General features: G+C 36.3%; 2 long non-coding RNA genes across 2 annotated transcripts in view, besides 1 other annotated feature; one reads left to right on the plus strand and one right to left on the minus strand.

Moving 5' to 3' along the window:
* LINC01179 (long intergenic non-protein coding RNA 1179) overlaps positions 1-18,829 on the plus strand; it is a 78,140-nt gene that overhangs the window by 44,530 nt on the left and 14,781 nt on the right. The window contains exon 4 of the long non-coding RNA NR_121676.1: positions 3,927-4,012. This is a non-coding gene — a long non-coding RNA (long intergenic non-protein coding RNA 1179). The remainder of the gene's footprint in view (positions 1-3,926; positions 4,013-18,829) is intronic.
* LOC101928131 (uncharacterized) lies at positions 1,611-13,903 on the minus strand. The gene is made up of 4 exons (NR_121677.1): positions 13,851-13,903; positions 9,163-9,527; positions 5,505-5,735; positions 1,611-2,516 (listed from the first exon to the last, which is right to left on the minus strand). It is a non-coding gene; the product is annotated as an uncharacterized LOC101928131 (long non-coding RNA).
* Positions 13,963-14,463: an enhancer, noted in NCBI's record as "H3K4me1 hESC enhancer chr4:166664283-166664783 (GRCh37/hg19 assembly coordinates)". NCBI's record gives its function as "activates a minimal SCP1, AML or CMV promoter by ChIP-STARR-seq in naive H9 embryonic stem cells {active_cell/tissue: H9 hESC(naive)}" and the evidence as "EXISTENCE:reporter gene assay evidence [ECO:0000049][PMID:30033119]".

Consider the following 18,829-nt stretch of genomic DNA (forward strand, 5'->3'; position numbering starts at 1 on the left):
CTACAGTGTATTCTTATTTATCTTGCAGATAAATCCTCCCTTCCATTTTGAGTTTTGAAAGGGGAAAAATAGACAATTTATGAAAGCATGAAATATATTCAAAGAGCTCTCATAACCCGATTATGTGTTCTTAAGCTCTCTCTGAAGTTTTGATATAATCAAGTGAATAAATAATTTTCAAAAATCGTATGTAATACATTTGTAAGAGCATATCTTATTGCAGATAATTTCTTTATAGAATTATGCTTCAATACATGACAGGAAACTGAATTTTATTAGACAACTAAAACCATAAATAAACAAGGTGAGACTGTTTTTACCGAATTGGGAGATAGAGATCTTGTGAAGGTTTTATTAGCAACTATCAGCTAGGCCCAACAAATGATTATGGCGAAGCTTGGAAAGACAGTAGTCCATCTTAACATAGTCAAAAAGATTTCAATACAAATAAGTGTCAGGGTTCAAACAAACATATACATCCAAAATTGCTTTGCCTTGGGATAAATCCTGTCTTTGTACCACTAGTCTCATGAATTTCAATCTTCCATAGTAAGTTTGTAGTAAGGCAAAAGATAAATAAAGACATAGGGCATCCAGTAAAGTCATGGAGCCCTGTGAAGTCTTTACCCTGAGGATTAAAGAAGCAGGTGGTAGGATAATCAGATCTTATTTGTGGGCCTGGTTTTCTCAAATACGGTTTGTGCTTTATCAAATGTTTTCTCCAATTTTCTATACTTTTTCAAATCTCTTTTTTTCTCTCTCTTCAAAATCTTTATCAGACTCTCCCTTAAAAATACTGTTTCCTTTAATAATTCAGAGTATTCAGAGTATTGACGATCTAATAGATTCTTAAATATGCAACATAAAAATAGTTGGATGCGCCAAATAAATTCCTGTATTAAGGTACTATAATTTTATTTTTCACCATATAAAGAGAGCATCATCTGAGAAAGATATTTGGGAAGTAATTACCAAACAAGCTTCCACATAAAAAATGAGGATAGTTGCTGGTCAATCCATTCCCTATTTCAAAACCATTGTGTAATGGATTATAAAACAATTTTATAGCCTATCTTTAAGAATCACAGTGGACTAATTTACACTCCACCAACAGTGTAAAAAGCATTCCTATTTCTTCACAGCCTCGCCGGCATCTGTTGTTTCCTGACTTTTTATTAATAATCACCATTCTAACTGGTGTGTGATGGTATCTCATGGTTTTGATTTGCATTTCTCTAATGACTAGTGATGCTGAACTTTTTTTTCATATGTTTATTGGCCGCATGAATGTCTTCTTCTGAAATGTGTCTGTTTATATCCTTTGCCCACTTTTTGATGGGGTTGTTTGTTTTTTTCTTGTAAATTTTTTTTAAGTTCATTGTAGATTCTGGATATTAGCCCTTTGTCAGGTGGATAGATTGCAAAAATTTTCTCCCATTCTATAGGTTGCCTGTTTACCCTGATGCTAGTTTCTTTTGCTATGCAGAAGCTCCTTAGTTTATTTGGATCCCATTTGTCAATTCTGGCTTTCCTCAAGGATCTAGAACCAGAAATACCATCTGCCAGCAATCCCATTACTGGGTATATATTCAAAGGATTATAAGTCATTCTACTATAAAGACACATGCACATGTATGTTTATTGCAGCACTATTCACAATAGCAAACACTTAGAACTAACCCAAATGCCCATCAATGATCGACTAGATAAAGCAAATGTGGCACTTATACACCATGGAATACTATGCAGCCAGAAAAAAGAATAGGATCATGTCTTTTGCAGGGACACGTGTGAAGCTGGAAGCTCAGCAAACTAACACAGGAACAGAAAACCAAACACCACATGTTCTCACTCATAAGTGGGAGTTGAACAATGAGAACACAGGGAGACAGGGAGTAGAACATCACACACTCGGGCCTGTTGGTGGATGGGGGGCCAGGGGAGAGAGAACATTAGGACAAATACCTAATGCATGTGGGGTTTAAAACCTAGATGACGGGTTGATAGGTGCAGCAAACCACCTTGGTGCATGTATACCTATGTAAGAAACCTGCATATTCTGCACATGTATCCCGGTACTTATAATAAAATAAAAATAAATTAATTAATTAAGAAAAAGAATCACAGTGGAATGAGGGGGCCTTAATTCTTGGAGTTGGGAAAGACATTAGAAATAATCTAGTCTGTGTTCTTCATTTTATAAATGAGGGAACTGAGGCCTGCAAAGGTCCAATCACTTTTACAAGATTATACATCTAGGTAATGGCAAAGCTAAAACTCCTCCCTAGGACTCCTGCTCTCTATTCCAGCACTGTGCACATTATACCATTCAACATCTTCTGTAGTAGTAAAAATATAGGTATCATTGCAGAACATTCCACTTTTGACTGATACACATTCAAATCCCACTATCCAGTATGCATATACAGCCTTAAATGAGAGTCTAGTTTAGAACACAGCAACTGGCAATGTGTTGTTTTCTCAGTTACTTCAATTTCTCTCTATGGAGTCTCCATCTGTCCAGAAAAACATACGTATTTTGATGAAAACCTTAAACTTCTAAGGAAAAATCACTTGAAGGCTAATGTTAGATACATTTTTAAAAAAGCAAATAAACTTTTGTCAATAAGTAAGGAAAAGAATTATAGAGTAAGCTCTCCAAAGAATAGACTATTCGGTTCCAACCTCTCTCTGAGGTGTGTTGAGGTTCCTCTACACTCACGGGGCATTAGACAGTTGATTCTTTTTCTTCTCTAGTGCATCATGTGCATAGAGTAGTATTAAAAATTGGTTTGGACACAGGAGTCCATCTTAAAGCGGATCACGTGTGACCTTGTACATTGTTCCCACACTTAGGTAAACTCCTTCCTCTTCTCTTCCAACCCCTGTGCCAAAGCCCTCTGAAAATCCCATATGTTATTGCTTTGCAAAACTCAAATCCTGTACATTTGTCCTTGAATATGACAGTAATGTATAGTTTATTTTCCAGATGGAGAAAGTCTTTGTCATAAAAATCAATAACTTTAAAATGTATATATTAGTTAACAGTAACTTGGAAGTGATTCAAAGGAAAAATAAAGCTATTTTCACCATTAGTAAGTCCAAGGGACTCATAAAACTTTCAGTGGTGTTTGAATCAAAATATAGGCTGCTCTCTCTTCAATTAATGGAAGTTGCATAGGAATGTAAGATGGCCTTAATTTATGTAAGTTCTTAAATTTTTTTATATTTTTATTATGTATTGCCTTTAGTTTAAATTTCTACATAAAACTAAATGACTGAGGCATATTTTTGCATGTACATATTCAAACAATATTTCTCTCAAAATATTAAGAACAAAGTATATTAATTTCAGATATCCCAAACTTGACAATATGTTAAGGTTATGTATATTATTAGTTTTTCTATATAACTCTCATGCTAAACTAATTGATATTTAATTTAAAATATTATTATATTTTAGGTCACAATTTGGCTCCTTAAAATCTAAAAAGAAAAACATTTTTAAAACCTAATAGAAAGATTTCTGAGAATTTTAATGAAAGTTAAAATGGACTAAAACCATTAAGCTGTACAGGAAAGTAGATTTCGCTGCCTGGATTAAATTAAGAGCTGCCTTAAAAATACATATTTTGATATATAAAATATTTTTTCAGAATGTTAAATACATGTCTATAATAACATTGCTTTAAAAGTGAAACCAATTAATTTTGTTTCAATATTCAAACTGGGAAAAATACTAGAACAAAAAAAAGTAATGAAATAAAATACATAGGTGGTGGCTGATTTATGTCTTTTTTAGTCTTTTAGCTATTTTATATGACTTTCAGTTTAATAATTTAGCATAGTATTACAAGCAAAAATTAAACTTTCTCTCTGTGTATCCAATTTCTTTCTGACCATGCCACTTCCATGTGTTCTCTCAGATATGAGTTAACAAGACAAATGAGCAGAGAAACTATGACTCTCCATGCTGCAGAAGGAAAATGCTCCTAGCGAACATCTGCTTTGGGTAAAGTAATTTAATTGCAAAGATCACGGTGGTATGTTGAGATTTATTTCAAGGGAAGAGCAAGGAAGCAAAAGAGGGCAGTGGGAACCCTTGACACCCTCCTTCCTTATGGAATTTTATCATCAGCGGTGAAGGGGCCAAGAAAAATCTGTCTTCTTTGCTTTCCTTTGTATCAATTTCCTCTTCTGAAATAAGGAAGTCTAAACAAAATAGTCTGGACTTTGAAATATTTTATATATGTATGAAATATTTTATGTATATCTTTTTCTGTACACACATGTGCAAAACATACACACACACACATACACACACACACACACACATAGTCTAGCCCTTGCCATATTTAGATGTGTTCTCTGGACAGTAAAATCCACCTTAGCTTATAGAGGCTGCTAATTTTCCTGAGATTTCCAAGCCTATTTAAATCTATACAACGAGCGAATGTCATTAAATGAATCTGTAGGCTCAGGATAAGTGGTTCACCTATATACCTCCAAGACCAACAATGAAAAGCATTCTAACCAAGGCTTATGTTGAGGCAATGCTCATTTAGGAAGTAACATGGACTAGACTGTGATTTATGGAGAAATGGTGGCATAGATACATGTAGACAGATAGGTAAGTTGATTGACTGCAGCAGAAATCTGCTGTTGTACAATCTGTTCAGATACTTGGCATCATTAGAACATTTATGGAATAATGTCTATTGTGTAAGTCATTACCATAATTTTTTAGAGATAGTGGTTGAGATAGTAAATATTCAGAATTTAGGGCATTCATCGGATCTACTAAGACGGACAGGCAGGGAGCACACAGTGGTGTTATAGATGTCAGTAGGTTCCTAGGGTGCCCAGGTTAGGTCTTCTCTTTCTCTTCAACAATTCCAGTTGCCTTTCAGATACATACACGAACTAAGAACAACCCTTTCCACTTAGAGAAGTGGAAGGAAGCAAGGAGAGTCTTATGATACCATTTTGAATGAAATAAAAAACGTGGACTCCATGACAAGTCAAGCAGATTCAAAACATGCAAATGAATAGATTGAAGTAGATGCTAAGTGACATCTCCCAAAACATACTTCAAGGCTGACCAGTGAGTTGTGAGGCTCATCCGTGGAGGCTCAAAATGGATCTTAACATGCAAGTCCTTTCCTTCATTCCTACATGTGGGTGGTCTGAATGTTCTTGGACCACTTCTATGTTCTTGTATCATTGGAGGTCACTCAATAAAACTGAAGTGCATTGTTGATAGTTGCTAACATTTGGTATGCATAAACTAAAATTAGCATGATACTTAAGTTTGCTAAAGACTTTAATTCCATAATCCTAATAGATTTCCAGTGATTGAACAATATTATACATCTCCTCTTGTACAGGAGCTAATGAATGGTAAAAGTAAAGACCAGAAGCATTTCTCACACTAGCACAGTGCTCTTAATAGTCCATTCAGCTAAATAATAGGTTGGATCACAAAAAAAGAGACTTTTACATACCTTCATAGTCCAGAATAGGAGGTCAAATCTAAGAAGAGGAAACTTGCATAGGAGTAGAAATTGTACACTTTTAGACTTCATTTTGAAATGCCAGATGCAAAGTACAGGATTAGAGAGTCTTTGCTTTATATATATTCGTGATAAACAACATCACATTTCAGTAAGAACGTTGATGAACTTGACTTTGTGCAGGGAAGGATGAATGGTCTGGGAAACATACAGTTGAAAGAACTGAATATGGAGAAAGGATTTAGAGTAAGTAGTTGTCAGATGGAAAACTGATTCATTATTCTGTAGGGTTCTGTGGCTTCATTTGTGAAAATACAGAAAAGAGATGTGTTAGACAATTCCATAAAAGGGGATGCTTTCTTCTGCATCTCAGTTTCCTACTCTGAAAGAGGATAATTTTATTAATCCTTGGGCCAGAAACAATGAGGGAACATCTACTTAGCATCTAAAATCTTTATAACATGTAGGGAATGATGTGCTTTTCCCAGTTCCCCTGTTTGAATGAGGGACTAGTTTTCCTAATTACTGGAAGTGCTTGCCGACTGACAGCTCTCAGGTATCACAAGGCTGTGGAGTGGTACATCCAGAATCAGACACACATAAGGCTGGGACACACAAATAAGCTGCAGGTAGTCCAGATATTAGAAACCCCCTGATACCTATCATTGATGCCCCAGTGCCTCTTTCTCCACTTATTCCTGTTATAATATCAAGGACACTCACTTTATAGCGAAGGAAATGAAGCAGTGGGCAGAGGTCCATGGAATCTAGGGCTAGTGTCCCATATCACAGCCCCAGAAGCTGCAGGGCTGACCAACCTAATCATTTAGGATGCTGCGTACTCTCTAAATTGATAGCTTTATGATGTTGTGCCCCTAGTGGGATAGAATGAATGGGCTTGAGAACCAACATTCTTTCGTCCTCTTGGAGAAAGTTTGCTTCCCTTCCCCAAATCTCTGGGGTTCTGTGCATTTAAATGTCTTGGTTCCCAAAAAGGGAGTGTTTCTAGCACGTGGCCCAGTATGCATCCCACTGAACCTAAAGCTACACTGCTACCTACACACTTCAGAATCCTCAGGCCAAGGTGCCAGCAGGCAAGATGAAGAGTTACCATCATGGCAGACATAACTGACCATGATCATCAGAGGGAGGCACAGGTGATGACATACAACAGGGGCAGGGAGGAATGTGCTTGGCAAGCAGGTGATCCATTTGGGCATCCCTTGCCCAATTTTGATGGCAAATGGATGTGTGCTGCCACCTGAGAAGAACATGATGACAAGAGGTTCACATAACTCAGGGATGAAAGTCTAGGTCATGCCGGCCGGGCTCGGTGGCTCACGCCTGTAATCCCAGCACTTTGGGAGGCCGAGGCGGGAGGATCACGAGGTCAGGAGATCAAGACCATCCCGGCTAACACGGTGAAACCCCGTTTCTACTAAAAATACTAAAAATTAGCTGGGCTTGGTGGGGGGCGCCTATAGTTCCAGCTACTCAGGAGGCTGAGGCAAGAGAATGGCGTGAACCCGGGAGGCAGAACTTGCAGTGAGCTGAGATCGTGCCACTGCACTCCAGCCTGGGCGACAGAGCAAGACTCCATCTAATAAAAAAAAAAAAAAAAAAAAAAAGTCTAGGTCATGCCACCAGGTAAACTGCACAGAACAGCAGAAGTGAGAGTTGAGGGTGAGCAGTGTCTGGAATGGACTGAAGAAGACAATGAGTATTGTTGGTGGCCTTGAGACCAGTAATGTGGGCTATAGTTTGTCCCATCCTTTTCCTTTTATCAGTTTTCCTCAGGAAAAGAGTTCCATCAGAATCATGGAGGAACTGCTCTCAGAACTTCAATCCCTCCTTAGGCTCCAATGCCACCTGCTATTCAAGTCACTAACATCTTTCACCTGAAACAGTGTCTTGTCTCATAGGCCGGCCATTATCCACCACATCACAGCTAGAGGGAACTGTCAGCAACAGAAGTCAGATCATGTTATTTTTCTGCTAAAAACACCCCCAATGGTTTTCCAACGCCCTTAAAATCAACTTGAACTTCATGGCCCCAGGCTGCTCCACAGACCTCGTCTCCTACCGCTCTCCCTCATGCCCACGTGGGCCAGCCATATTGGCTTCACTCTCATGAGTATGCCAAACTCCTTTCATATCAGGAGCTTTCTCTACCCTTCTGTGTCTGGGATGCACTTTCTCCTGATCTTCACACGGCTGGTGGTGTCACTTCCTTTATGTCTCTGCCCAGATGTCACTTCCTCAGAGGGGTCTTTCTAGACACTATATCTAAAATACCCTATGTCATCTACAACCTAACTGATTAGTTGGCTTTATTTTTTTCATTGTACACGTAACAATTTCTAATGAGATTGTTATTTTATTATTAAAATGTGATTTAGGTATTAAATATTATTTAGGTATTACTGTGAGAATCCCTCATTTAGTGTAAGCTACATGTTTATCTTTATATCTCTAGCACCAAGAATAATGCCTGCCATGTGCTAATTCCTCAGTAATTATTTATTGAATTAATGAATGATGCATATATAATGTTTATTAAAGATTAACCAATGAGTGCCTTCAGTGAATTTGTTGCCATCATTTGCAGTGGATTTTGTTGCTTTTCCTTTTAAAGAATAAGCCCAAACTACAGACCACTCTTAAGAATATTATGAATGAAAAATCTGTATATCTATCATATTTTTTAAAACTATGGTTATTACATGACTAGGGTATATAGTATATTACCCTGAAAAAAATTCCACTCTCCAGCTTACTTTGGTAAGAGTATTTAATTTGCCTGAGCCAGATTTTAGTTACAAACTTCCAAATGAGTCATTGTTTCTTTGGGAACATTTATCCTACCTGTTTCCACCACTTCCTCTGGGGAGGTTAATCTAAATTCTGATAATACCAAGAAAGGCAGAACTTAAGTTTTGTTCTTATTATTAACAAGTTTAAATGACTACTTTTGAACTTTTCCTTTTATTTGAAACACATAATTGTGACTTTCTAAATTGAAGTCAGCCATTAATATATAATTCAGAGCCTACTGGATGACTTTTCTTTGTGGATACTGACGTCATTGTTCTCTTTCTCAATGGTACAAACAAAAACACTTCAGAAAGTAAACCCTTGTCTATTGTTACAGTAAGGTGCATAAGTATTCAAGCCTAATTTTTCAAGGTAACCTTTTAGGTAATTACAGACACTGTCCTGCCATTTTATGGAGGGGAACTTATTGATTTATATTTTTTTAAAAAACAAAAGGATTTGATGAAATGTTCAGTTAGCCAACCTGACAACTCTTTTATTTTTGTTTTGTAAGAGTCAAGCTTGACTTCTTACAAAATTACAATTTAGATGTTAAATGACATCTCTTAGGAACATTCAGAAATAGAGATAATTAGAAAAATAAATTTGGAAATTAGCTTGCAGGGCCCTTGGTTAGGGATCTTTGGGCATAGTGAGCCATCTCTTTAAAGAAAAATGAGGTACTATCTTTAAGAGAACTGAAGTTACCTGGACCAAATCACAGCATGGCTTATCTGCTTCCTCCCTCCCTCAAAGGTAAAATCCTCTCTGAGACACAGAAGTATCTGGTTAAATTTTATCTCAAGATAGCCTACTTGGGACAACATGCATTTACCTGCTGTGGTAGACAGAATAATGCTTCCTGGAAGATGTCCATGTCCTTCTTCCTAGAACCTGTGAATATGTTAACTTATATGGCAACAGGCATTCTGCAGATGTGATTAACAACCTTAAGATGGAGAAGCTATCCTGGGTTATCCAAGCAGGCCCAATGTAATCACAAGGGTCCTGGTAGGAGGTCAGAAGAGTCAGTGATGTGACAATAGACACAGGTCAGAGTTATGTGGCCATGAGCCAAGGAGTGTCGGCTGCCTCTAGAAGCTGGAAAAGGCAAGGAACAGACTCTCTCTTGAAGCTTCCAGAAGAAACTGGCTGTGCAAATACTCCATAGGACTCATTTTGGCCTTCTTATCTCCAGAGCTGGTAAGAGAATGAATTTGTTGTTAAAGCCACAAGGATTGTGATGATTCATTACAACAGCAATAGAAAATGAATACACCTACATTACCTTGACCACAATTTTGGGTGAAGACACTAGTTAAATATTTGCCTGAAGCTCACTCTGTACATTTGGGCATAAGAAAAGCTCTTCAGACTGTGGTTTTGAGGCAAAGTGACACAAGGGAGTACAGATCCTCTTCAGCATGTAAGTTTAGTTTAAGCTTAAGCATACTTTACATCTTAAATTTTTTAATGTATCTACTCAAATCTAGTCTAAATCTAGTGTAGTAACTCTGAGCAGAAGGCATAATTCTAATGAAAGCATAGAAAAAATCTCAAGGATTATATGTGTAGTTTGAGTAAGGCATGGCTTCGTTTCAAATGAAATGAAATCAGATCATGAGATTTAAGATTGAGAAACGCTGACTTAGAGGCACTGAGACTTGTCTACGTTTCCTGGGAAATTCTTCTTATACTTTATTTTTCCTCTTCACTATCATTATGACAGTTTCCTATTGTATTACATTTATTTAGTTCCTTAACTACACCATTGATTCCTCTGTGATTAGGATCATGCCTTAATCATTTATGTGATTCACACTTAGCACAGGGATAATGATTTAGTTTATGCTCAATATGTGTTTAATAAATTTGAATTCTCATTCTGGGATTTTAGGATCTTTTGCTGAATATCTATAATTTTAAGATCCTTTGCCAAATATTGTAGAATTTTTACCATGCAGATGCCAATGAAAGCATTTGGTACTGCTGATCAATAAATAATTGTTTGGCTCTATTAAAAACTACACACTTGTATCCTGTGTCCGATTTTTATCTCCCAATTATTTGATAAATCTTCATTGATTGTTTTATTTAAAAATTATTTTTTCTAGAATGTTAATGACAGAGCCTTTAGAAATAAGTTACATAAGATTAATGTTTTATTTTGTTGGTTGACCTCTCAGGGCTTTTTTCCATTTTGGCCTTCAGAAGTCAACAAATTAAATTATGAAACTATTTCTTCCCTTATTCTTTCACATCTTTGCTCCCTATTTTTTTCTTTTGCCTCATCCAAGTGAGGATTCTCCCGCCTGGATTTTAACTGTCTTGATTTGTAGCTGGCTCTTTTCTATAATGTACTTATGTCTTATTTTATCTGTAAACTATTATGTTAATCTGAACCCTAGAATCTTTTAAGCGACGTAATCACTTACAATGTTACCAATATCTCCTTCAGAAAATATTATTTTGATCTGAGAGTTTCAATCTAATTCATCGTGGAATTGTAAATTTCTCTGAACTACTAACTTTAGCTACCACCACTCCTATCCCTCAATGTCCCTGTTCAGAAAGAACAGGGGCCAGAAAGAGTTCTCTTTTTTTTTTGAGACAGAGTCTCGCTCTGTCGCCTAGGCTGCAGTGCAGTGGCACGATCTTGGCTCACTGCAAGCTCTGCCAAGCAAGTTCATGCCATTCTCCTGCATCAGCCTCCCGAGTAGCTGGGACTACAGGCGCCCACCACCACGCCCAGCTATTTTTTTTATTTTTGGTAGAGACGGGGTTTCACCGTGTTAGCCAAAATGGTCTCCATCTCCTGACCTCGTGATCCGCCCACCTTGGCCTCCCAAAGTGCTGGGATTACAGGCGTGAGCCACCGCGCCCAGCCCAGAAAGAGTTCTTAATTTCTTCCCTATATATATCTAAAATAAAAACCAAAAGCTTCACTGGTAAAGGTTACTACCCCATTGGATTTTTTATTCAAGTGGTCATAATTTTAAAAAATTAAATTTTGTGCACTTTGTAGACTAAGTTTTGTCTGAAAGTAGGTAACTTTGAGGTAGAGCAAACCAATGCCTCAAAAAGGGATTTCCTTTATTACCAGCTAAGGAGTATTTTTGAATATCGATCACAGCTAATAATTTCTGAGAATGCATTTACTTTTTAGAATATTAACAATTTTGATCATACAGAATTATTTTTTTTTGCACTGAGAAAGAGAAATCTCTATTCTTCCTATAGTGAAAGTGCATGGCACATAACAGTGCAATAATTTTATCACTTTCACTCATAAAATAATTGCAGAGTGGGAAAAGGCATCCTACCAAAGGAAAAAAAAAGTAAGGAGAAAACCTATGTTAAATAATGAAATATCTAACTGTAGAAATGTTTTTAAAAGTAACATTGTTCCTTTAAATTTAATGCTGACCACAATGCTTTGTAATTTTCCTTACGAAAACTGGATTTTCCCAGCATGACACCCAGTGCTGGCATCAATATCAGACGCTTAAAAATACTCATGCCAAGGAGTTAACAGGAAATATCTTGGCAAATTCAGAGTCCAAAGGAAAGCACAAAATTGTCAGAACGCATATCGTGTTTCTCAGAATTATCTGTATCATGTTGGAAGTTTTTATACGGAAGTGTGTGTTGACACAAATGATTAAGGCCAGGATTCCTACAATTGACAGGAAAATGACCTATAAATAATGACCTCTGATGGACTTGTCATGCAGTCATTAAGTGAAATATTCTAGTACCAGTTTCCTCTCTTTGGTATCCCAGTTTCCGGCTTCTGTGAAGTACTTTTCCTTTGCGAAGATCACTCATTTTACCTGAGACCATCAGATTTTCTCTGGGCTTTATGAAATGATAATTTCATTTACTGTCTTAGCAGATAGCAATATCAATTGAGTTTCACAGCCTTTTTGGGGCACAATTTTGGTTACACGAAAATTTTTTCTGAAGAACCTCTTATTTCTATTGTTATCTAAAATGCAAAGTAAACTGCTTGAAATATTGAAAGTTTAGGATTTTTTCAAGTTTAAGATAAAAGTTAATTTTTAAAGTCATTAAGCAACTAGTTTGCCTATTATTTTATATAATGTATTGTCGATTTTTCATTAAATTTATACATTTCAATATAATTCCTTGGGAAATGGTATTCAGAAACTTGCAAATGAGATATTATATTTCAATTATCTCACCATATATGTATATCATAAATGAAATGTAAATTTCTAGAAAACTAATTTTATTAACCAAACTGAGGACAGTGAATGAAATCACAGTTCACTTTTAATTTTCATAGGGCCCATTCAGGTTTTCTTCTCTTTAGTCATTTCTCCTTCTAACCCCAAAACACCCTATGAACCAGTGGTCTATTTTTTTTCCTTCTTCTTTCCCTTTTTCCCTTCCTTCCTTCATGTCTGTGGGTAAGAGATTGCAGAGGAAAAGTAATAAGTGATAAGCCCTGTCTTCTAAACCCACAAGCAAGATGCATGGATTTAAGCACTTAAAGGAAAAGAAAAATAAAGAATTTGAAACTATGTCACAATATCACCATATTATATTACATCAGTAAATAACATCATTGAAGCAAACATATAATTGAGCCTGAGAAACACTTACAGGAATCAAAAGCTGAGGGCTGCACCACCAAAGAGAGAATCAGTACCCTATAAATTCTACATTTCATGACTTATGTTGCTCATTCTAAATGCTAATCTTGGGATAACATTTTTTTAGGAGCACTTTTTTTAAAATTTAATTTTAATTTTAATTCATTTATTTTTTGAGGCAGAATTTCGCTCTTGTCCCCCAGGCTGGAGTGCAGTGGCACGATCTCAGCTAACTGCAACCTCCGCATCCAGGGTTCAAACAATTCTCCTGCCTCAGCCTCCTGAGTAGCTGGGATTACAGACATGTGCCACCATGCCCAGCTAATTTTTTTATATTTTTACTAGACGGGGTTTCACCATGTTCGTCAGGCTGGTTTCAAAGTCCTGACCTCAGGTGATCCTCTGGTCTAGGCCTCCCAAAATGCTGGGATTACAGCCTGGCCTTAGGAGCACTTTTAAAATGACCACTTTTAAAACTCCCACATAAACAATCTCACATTAGAAGATATGTAAGAAAGAAATAATATATTGATCCTGTAACAAGGTATAGAAATTCAAAATGAAAAGGACCTTAGAATTATTTCATTTAAACTTCTGATTTTAGAGCCAATGAAAGTGAACTTGAGAGAACTTGGAGCCAATGCGACTTGCCTACATCCACAGGGTCAAAAATAAAACTGGTCTCTAATCAACGAGAATCTGATAAAACATGCTGTATGTTCTGAAACCCAATTCTAATCATGAGCCTTGGATTAATTAAAGTCCCTGGAACTTGCAATTTCTGTTCTCTCCCTCTGCCTCCTCATACATTCTCTTTGGATGGCATGTGTACCAATCAACATTGCTGTGTGGTTTACACTAGAGGCTGGAGACTATGAGAAGAGGAATAAGACCCAACACCTACCTTTATAAAAGACTCACAATCGGCCGGGCGCGGTGGCTCACGCCTGTAATCCCAGCACTTTGGGAGGCCGAGGCGGGCGGATCACGAGGTCAGGAGATCAAGAACATCCTGGCTAACACAGTGAAACCCTGTCTCTACTAAAAATACAAAAAAAATTAGCCGGGCCTAGTGGCAGGCGCCTGTAGTCCCAGCTACTCGGGAGGCTGACGCATGAGAATGGCATGAACCAGGGAGGCGGAGCTTGCAGTGAGCTGAGATCACGCCACTGCACTCCAGCCTGCGCGGCAGGGCGAGACTCTGTCTCAAAAAAAAAAAAATAAATAAAAATAAAAATTAATAAAAATAAAAAAAGGACTCACAATCATGAAGGAGAGATAAAACATGCACACATAAAATAAAATAAAAGGAGAAATTCAATACTTGACAGTGAAGTCTGATGCCATCCAGAAGAGTCTTAATTGGAGTCTCTTGAGCTAATATCTTTGCCCCTTGAACCACTTTGATCAAGGCTTCATGAATAACCTTTCTAGAGCACCTCTGTGACTCTACTCTTTTCCTACTTGAAATCAATGGGTGGCCGTATCAGAAAAAAAATCTAGTCAGCACTTAATACAATACGAACTCTCCTTCCACCCTTCCTCCAGATCTTTTCCTAGGGCTAGGTCTCATTAGCCCTAAAATGGAAGTGATCTCCAGCCAAACGGCACAGCCCACTATTGCCTGACACACTATATTTTAAAAATTTGCCTCTTTTCTCCTGTTTGTGACATGCTATGTGGTATGCCTTCTCTTCATTCTTGTCTATCAAAATTCTACCATCATTCATAGCCCAGCTTGAGGGCTGCCTTTGTCATAACGCCTTTCTTGCCCAATCAGGAGTAATCTTCCCATGCCCAGAACAGCTTTGGAAATAAGGCTATATTGGTTTGTAGGCACTTAACACATTTGCCCCCTAACTATACTTCCATTTTTTTTTTCTAGTATAGTGTATGTTCATTGAGAACTAGGAATATCAACCTCAGATAAATAATAAAATTTGGAAAAATGGCAGTACAGCTTTCTAATAGAAAATCTCAGGAACTAATTTTTAAAATGCTAGTTAAGAAGGAATTTAACATTTACTTGGCCTAACTTGTCTCTCAATAAAGAAAGAAACAAAAAGAGCTGAATATTTTATGAGAGAGTAGGTTTCATTTTTAAACAATTATAATTGAAGAAAATCTTTGATGCATTAGAATAAGCCAAGATTTCTTAGGACAATGAAAGCACAAACCATATAAAAATTTTTTTAGTTGGACTTAATTAAAAGTAAAAAGTTTGGCTCTACAAAAGGCACTACTAAGAAAATGAAAAGTCAAGTCATAGAAAAAATAATTCACAATACGTATATTTGATAAAGGCATTGAATTTAGAATATAGAAAGAAATCTCATAATTCAACAATAAAAAGGCAAAAAAAAGAGGAAAATATTTGAACAAATACCTCACAAAAAGACATACAAATAGCTAATAAGATTAGAAACAGATGCTGAACTTCATTAGCCATCAGGGAAATGCAAATTAAAACCACCACAAGATACTACTACATATCTACTAGACTAGCTAAACTTGTAAAAACTTGACAGCATCATCTGTATTGAATACACACAGCAAATAGTACTCTCATACACTATTAGTGGGGTGTAAAATAGTAAGCCACTTTGGAAAACAGGTTAGGCAATTTCTTATAGTTAAATATGTATTTTTAAAAATGGACCCAGTAGCTCACTTCTAGGTATTTGCTCAAGAAAATATGAAAACATATACTCACAACAAGATTTATACATGAATGCTTATAGCAAACTTACTCAACCTGGAAACAGCTGAAATGTTCTTAGGTAAATGATAAATTGTGAAATACCACGTAACGAAGTACTACTCAACAATAAAAAAAATTACTACTATACATGCAACAGGATGAATGAATCTCCAAATTGTACTGAGTGTAAGAAGCCAGACTGAAAGAAATCCACAGTGCATGAGTCCATTCCATAGTGGCAGAAATGGTTCCCACGTTGAGGGTGGAAAGGGGATTATCTGCAAAAAGGCTTCAAGAAGCTTTTGGTGTGATGGGGGTGTGCTGTATCCTGATCATTCAACTCTTATGACTGCACAGTGTAAAAGAGAAAAGATTGTATTTACCTCTACAAAGGGTGAATGTCCCCCTTCCCTGGAAGGCTACTTATTTTTACAGTAATAGGTTAACTATGGAATATATACTATTATTTCAAACTAATTGAAATATATCAATTGAGTGAACTATCACAATCGTTTCAAAGTGAATCATACTGAAAATTCACTCATGGCAGCTTTTCTTTAATTGCAACACAGCAGAAAATGAAAGAGAGACATTCCAAAATTCATTTCCCAAAATTCTTGGGGCTAGATGTGCTCTGGTATTCAGAATTATTTGGATTTTAGAATAATAATGTGGTGCATATATTATACCCCATCTGTAGCAACCCTTAATTAATATATTAATACTTTTGTTGTGAAACACATGAAAATTCATACAAAGTAAGTTAAATTAAGACTATTTATAGCCTCATGTCAGTTCAGAGCATGTTTTTTAGCCAAATAAGTTCTAATACCACAGTTACCCAAATCTTCAGTTTGGATTTGGGAATTGCAAGTAAGGAAATGTGGACCTGTTTTAAATAATCAATTTATCATTGATTATTAAAATGGTTCAATAGAGAACATGCTTGCCGTGTTCCAAGGTTATATACATGCTTGTGATGAACTGGAACTGTTGTCAAGTATAGGAATCTTGGCTCACACTAAATTCATGGCATTATTCTTTGAGCGGGGAAATTTAATCCTAGACGAAGACAGAGTTTTTGGTTTCAGTGGACTTACAATGAGGATAAAGTAACATTTCTTTGACTTGAATGAAACATCCTTTTACTTTTATTTTCATTTTAAAATGTATACCCATAACACAAAACTATATGAAATGATGGATCTCTTTATACAAAATACAGTTTTCCCATTAAAATGAAAAATCAAAAAGTTTAACATGGAACTGAAGACTAAATTTTAGTCTTAAATATTACATTTTTCACTGGAATCATTGCTTAGTTCTCATTCAACCGGGCCTGATAACTTCTATGTCCTGGCCGTGCTTATAGGCACAGGTGTGTGTATGGACATCTGCCTCCATGTCCTAAGGAAACTCTGATAGACATGCTATAAAATGGAGGTAATGTGATACAGTACAAAGAGCATGAAGATGGGGGTTAGTCTCAGATTCTAAGTTCTCTCTTAAAAACCTATGACTGCAAATAATTCAGCTGTTCTGAGCCTAAGTTTTATCAACTATAATTGAGACCTGTAAATAAAACTTTTTAGAATTGTTTTTAAGATTTCATAAGATACTGTCAAGCATTCAATACAGAGTAGGCACTTGATAGGTGGTAATTATAGTGAGTTTATTTTAGTATTAATAAACTTTAACAGAGAAATCTATGGTTAAAAAGAGAAGTATATAATTGTGTTAGAGACTGGCTTAAACTTCATCTTGTGAAAATGTTATTCACTTCTACCTATAAAACTATTACAAATTTCCAGCACAGGAATTTGGCAAGAGATATGTTTCATAGTGTTTGATGAAACCACACATGACCGACTGACTTACAACATCCCTTATAAAACCCATGGTCAGGAATCACAATCCAACTAGTGTAAAGAAAGCTCAGAATTATAGAAGAAAAAAATTACAGGAGAAAAAAATTCATTCAAAAGGAAAGATGTAAACTGTAACCAGTGATGCTCAAAAATTGAAGGTCTGATTCAATTTTGACATAGCGAATGAAATTGGACTCATTTTATGAAAGCTTGGCTATATTATCTGATGAGGCAAATGAGGGAAGAAGGTGTTTTATTGCAAAACATTAACTGTAAACAATCAACTAGAATCCATTAAGCTGTTTATTCTTGAAATCATTCTTTCAGACTGATTACTTAAGTATCAAATGCAATAAAGCAATCAGCTTATTCTTCTTTTATTTATTTGTTTTTTTACTACTTAGTTCTTATGGGAAATTCTATCCAGGTCATCATAACACAATTGAAAACAACTGATAATGAAAAGAATGCTAATTGGTTTCCTCTCTCTCTTATCACTGATCCGTACACAGTAAGTAATGCTTCCACATTCTTCCTCCTGTTTGTATCCAACTTTTCTATATATCTAGACTTTAACATTTTTTGGAAGAAATCATGAACTAACAAAGCAATGCACGGCATTGATAAGCTATGTTAAATAGTAGACAGTGCAATGGAATAGAAATAGTGTGTTTAAAGTCATTAGACCAAATATTTATTGGGCAAGCACTAACACAAGTGCCAAGGTTAAAAAAATGATACCCAGGCTTTGGCTTTGGGAACCCAGAGTCTAGTAGGGGAGATATATAAATACACAAATACAGCACAGAACAATACATGTAATAACAGACTGTAGCCAAAGTAATAAACATTTAGACAAATAATAAACAGGCTGGCCCACAGAGACAGGGTCATTACGCTACTCAAAGCCTTGTGTTCTGCTCTGCAACTTCTGTGACTAAATCAAATCATCTTAAGTTGGGTCAGCCAAAAGCTGTCTGCCATTCCAGTCCTTCAGTACCACCTCCTTCAAAGAGACTACTGGTAGGATTAAATTCCTGAGTTCTCAGGCCTGTAATTCCTGTTTAATCCAGCCAATATCCAAAGTCTCAGTGACATCCTTTTTAAAAAAATAGTATTAATACAATCTATGTGCCACATTTTCTTTATCCAGCCTATCATTGATGGGCATTTGGTTTGGTTCCAAGTCTTTGCTATTGTAAATAGTGCTGCAATAAACGTACATGACCATGGCCATAATCATGACCATAACCATGATTGACTATAACCATAACCATAACCGTGATCATAACCAATACGATAACCATGACCATA

This window comes from Homo sapiens, chromosome 4 (genome assembly GCF_000001405.40).
Source record: "Homo sapiens chromosome 4, GRCh38.p14 Primary Assembly".
NCBI lineage: Eukaryota > Metazoa > Chordata > Mammalia > Primates > Hominidae > Homo > Homo sapiens.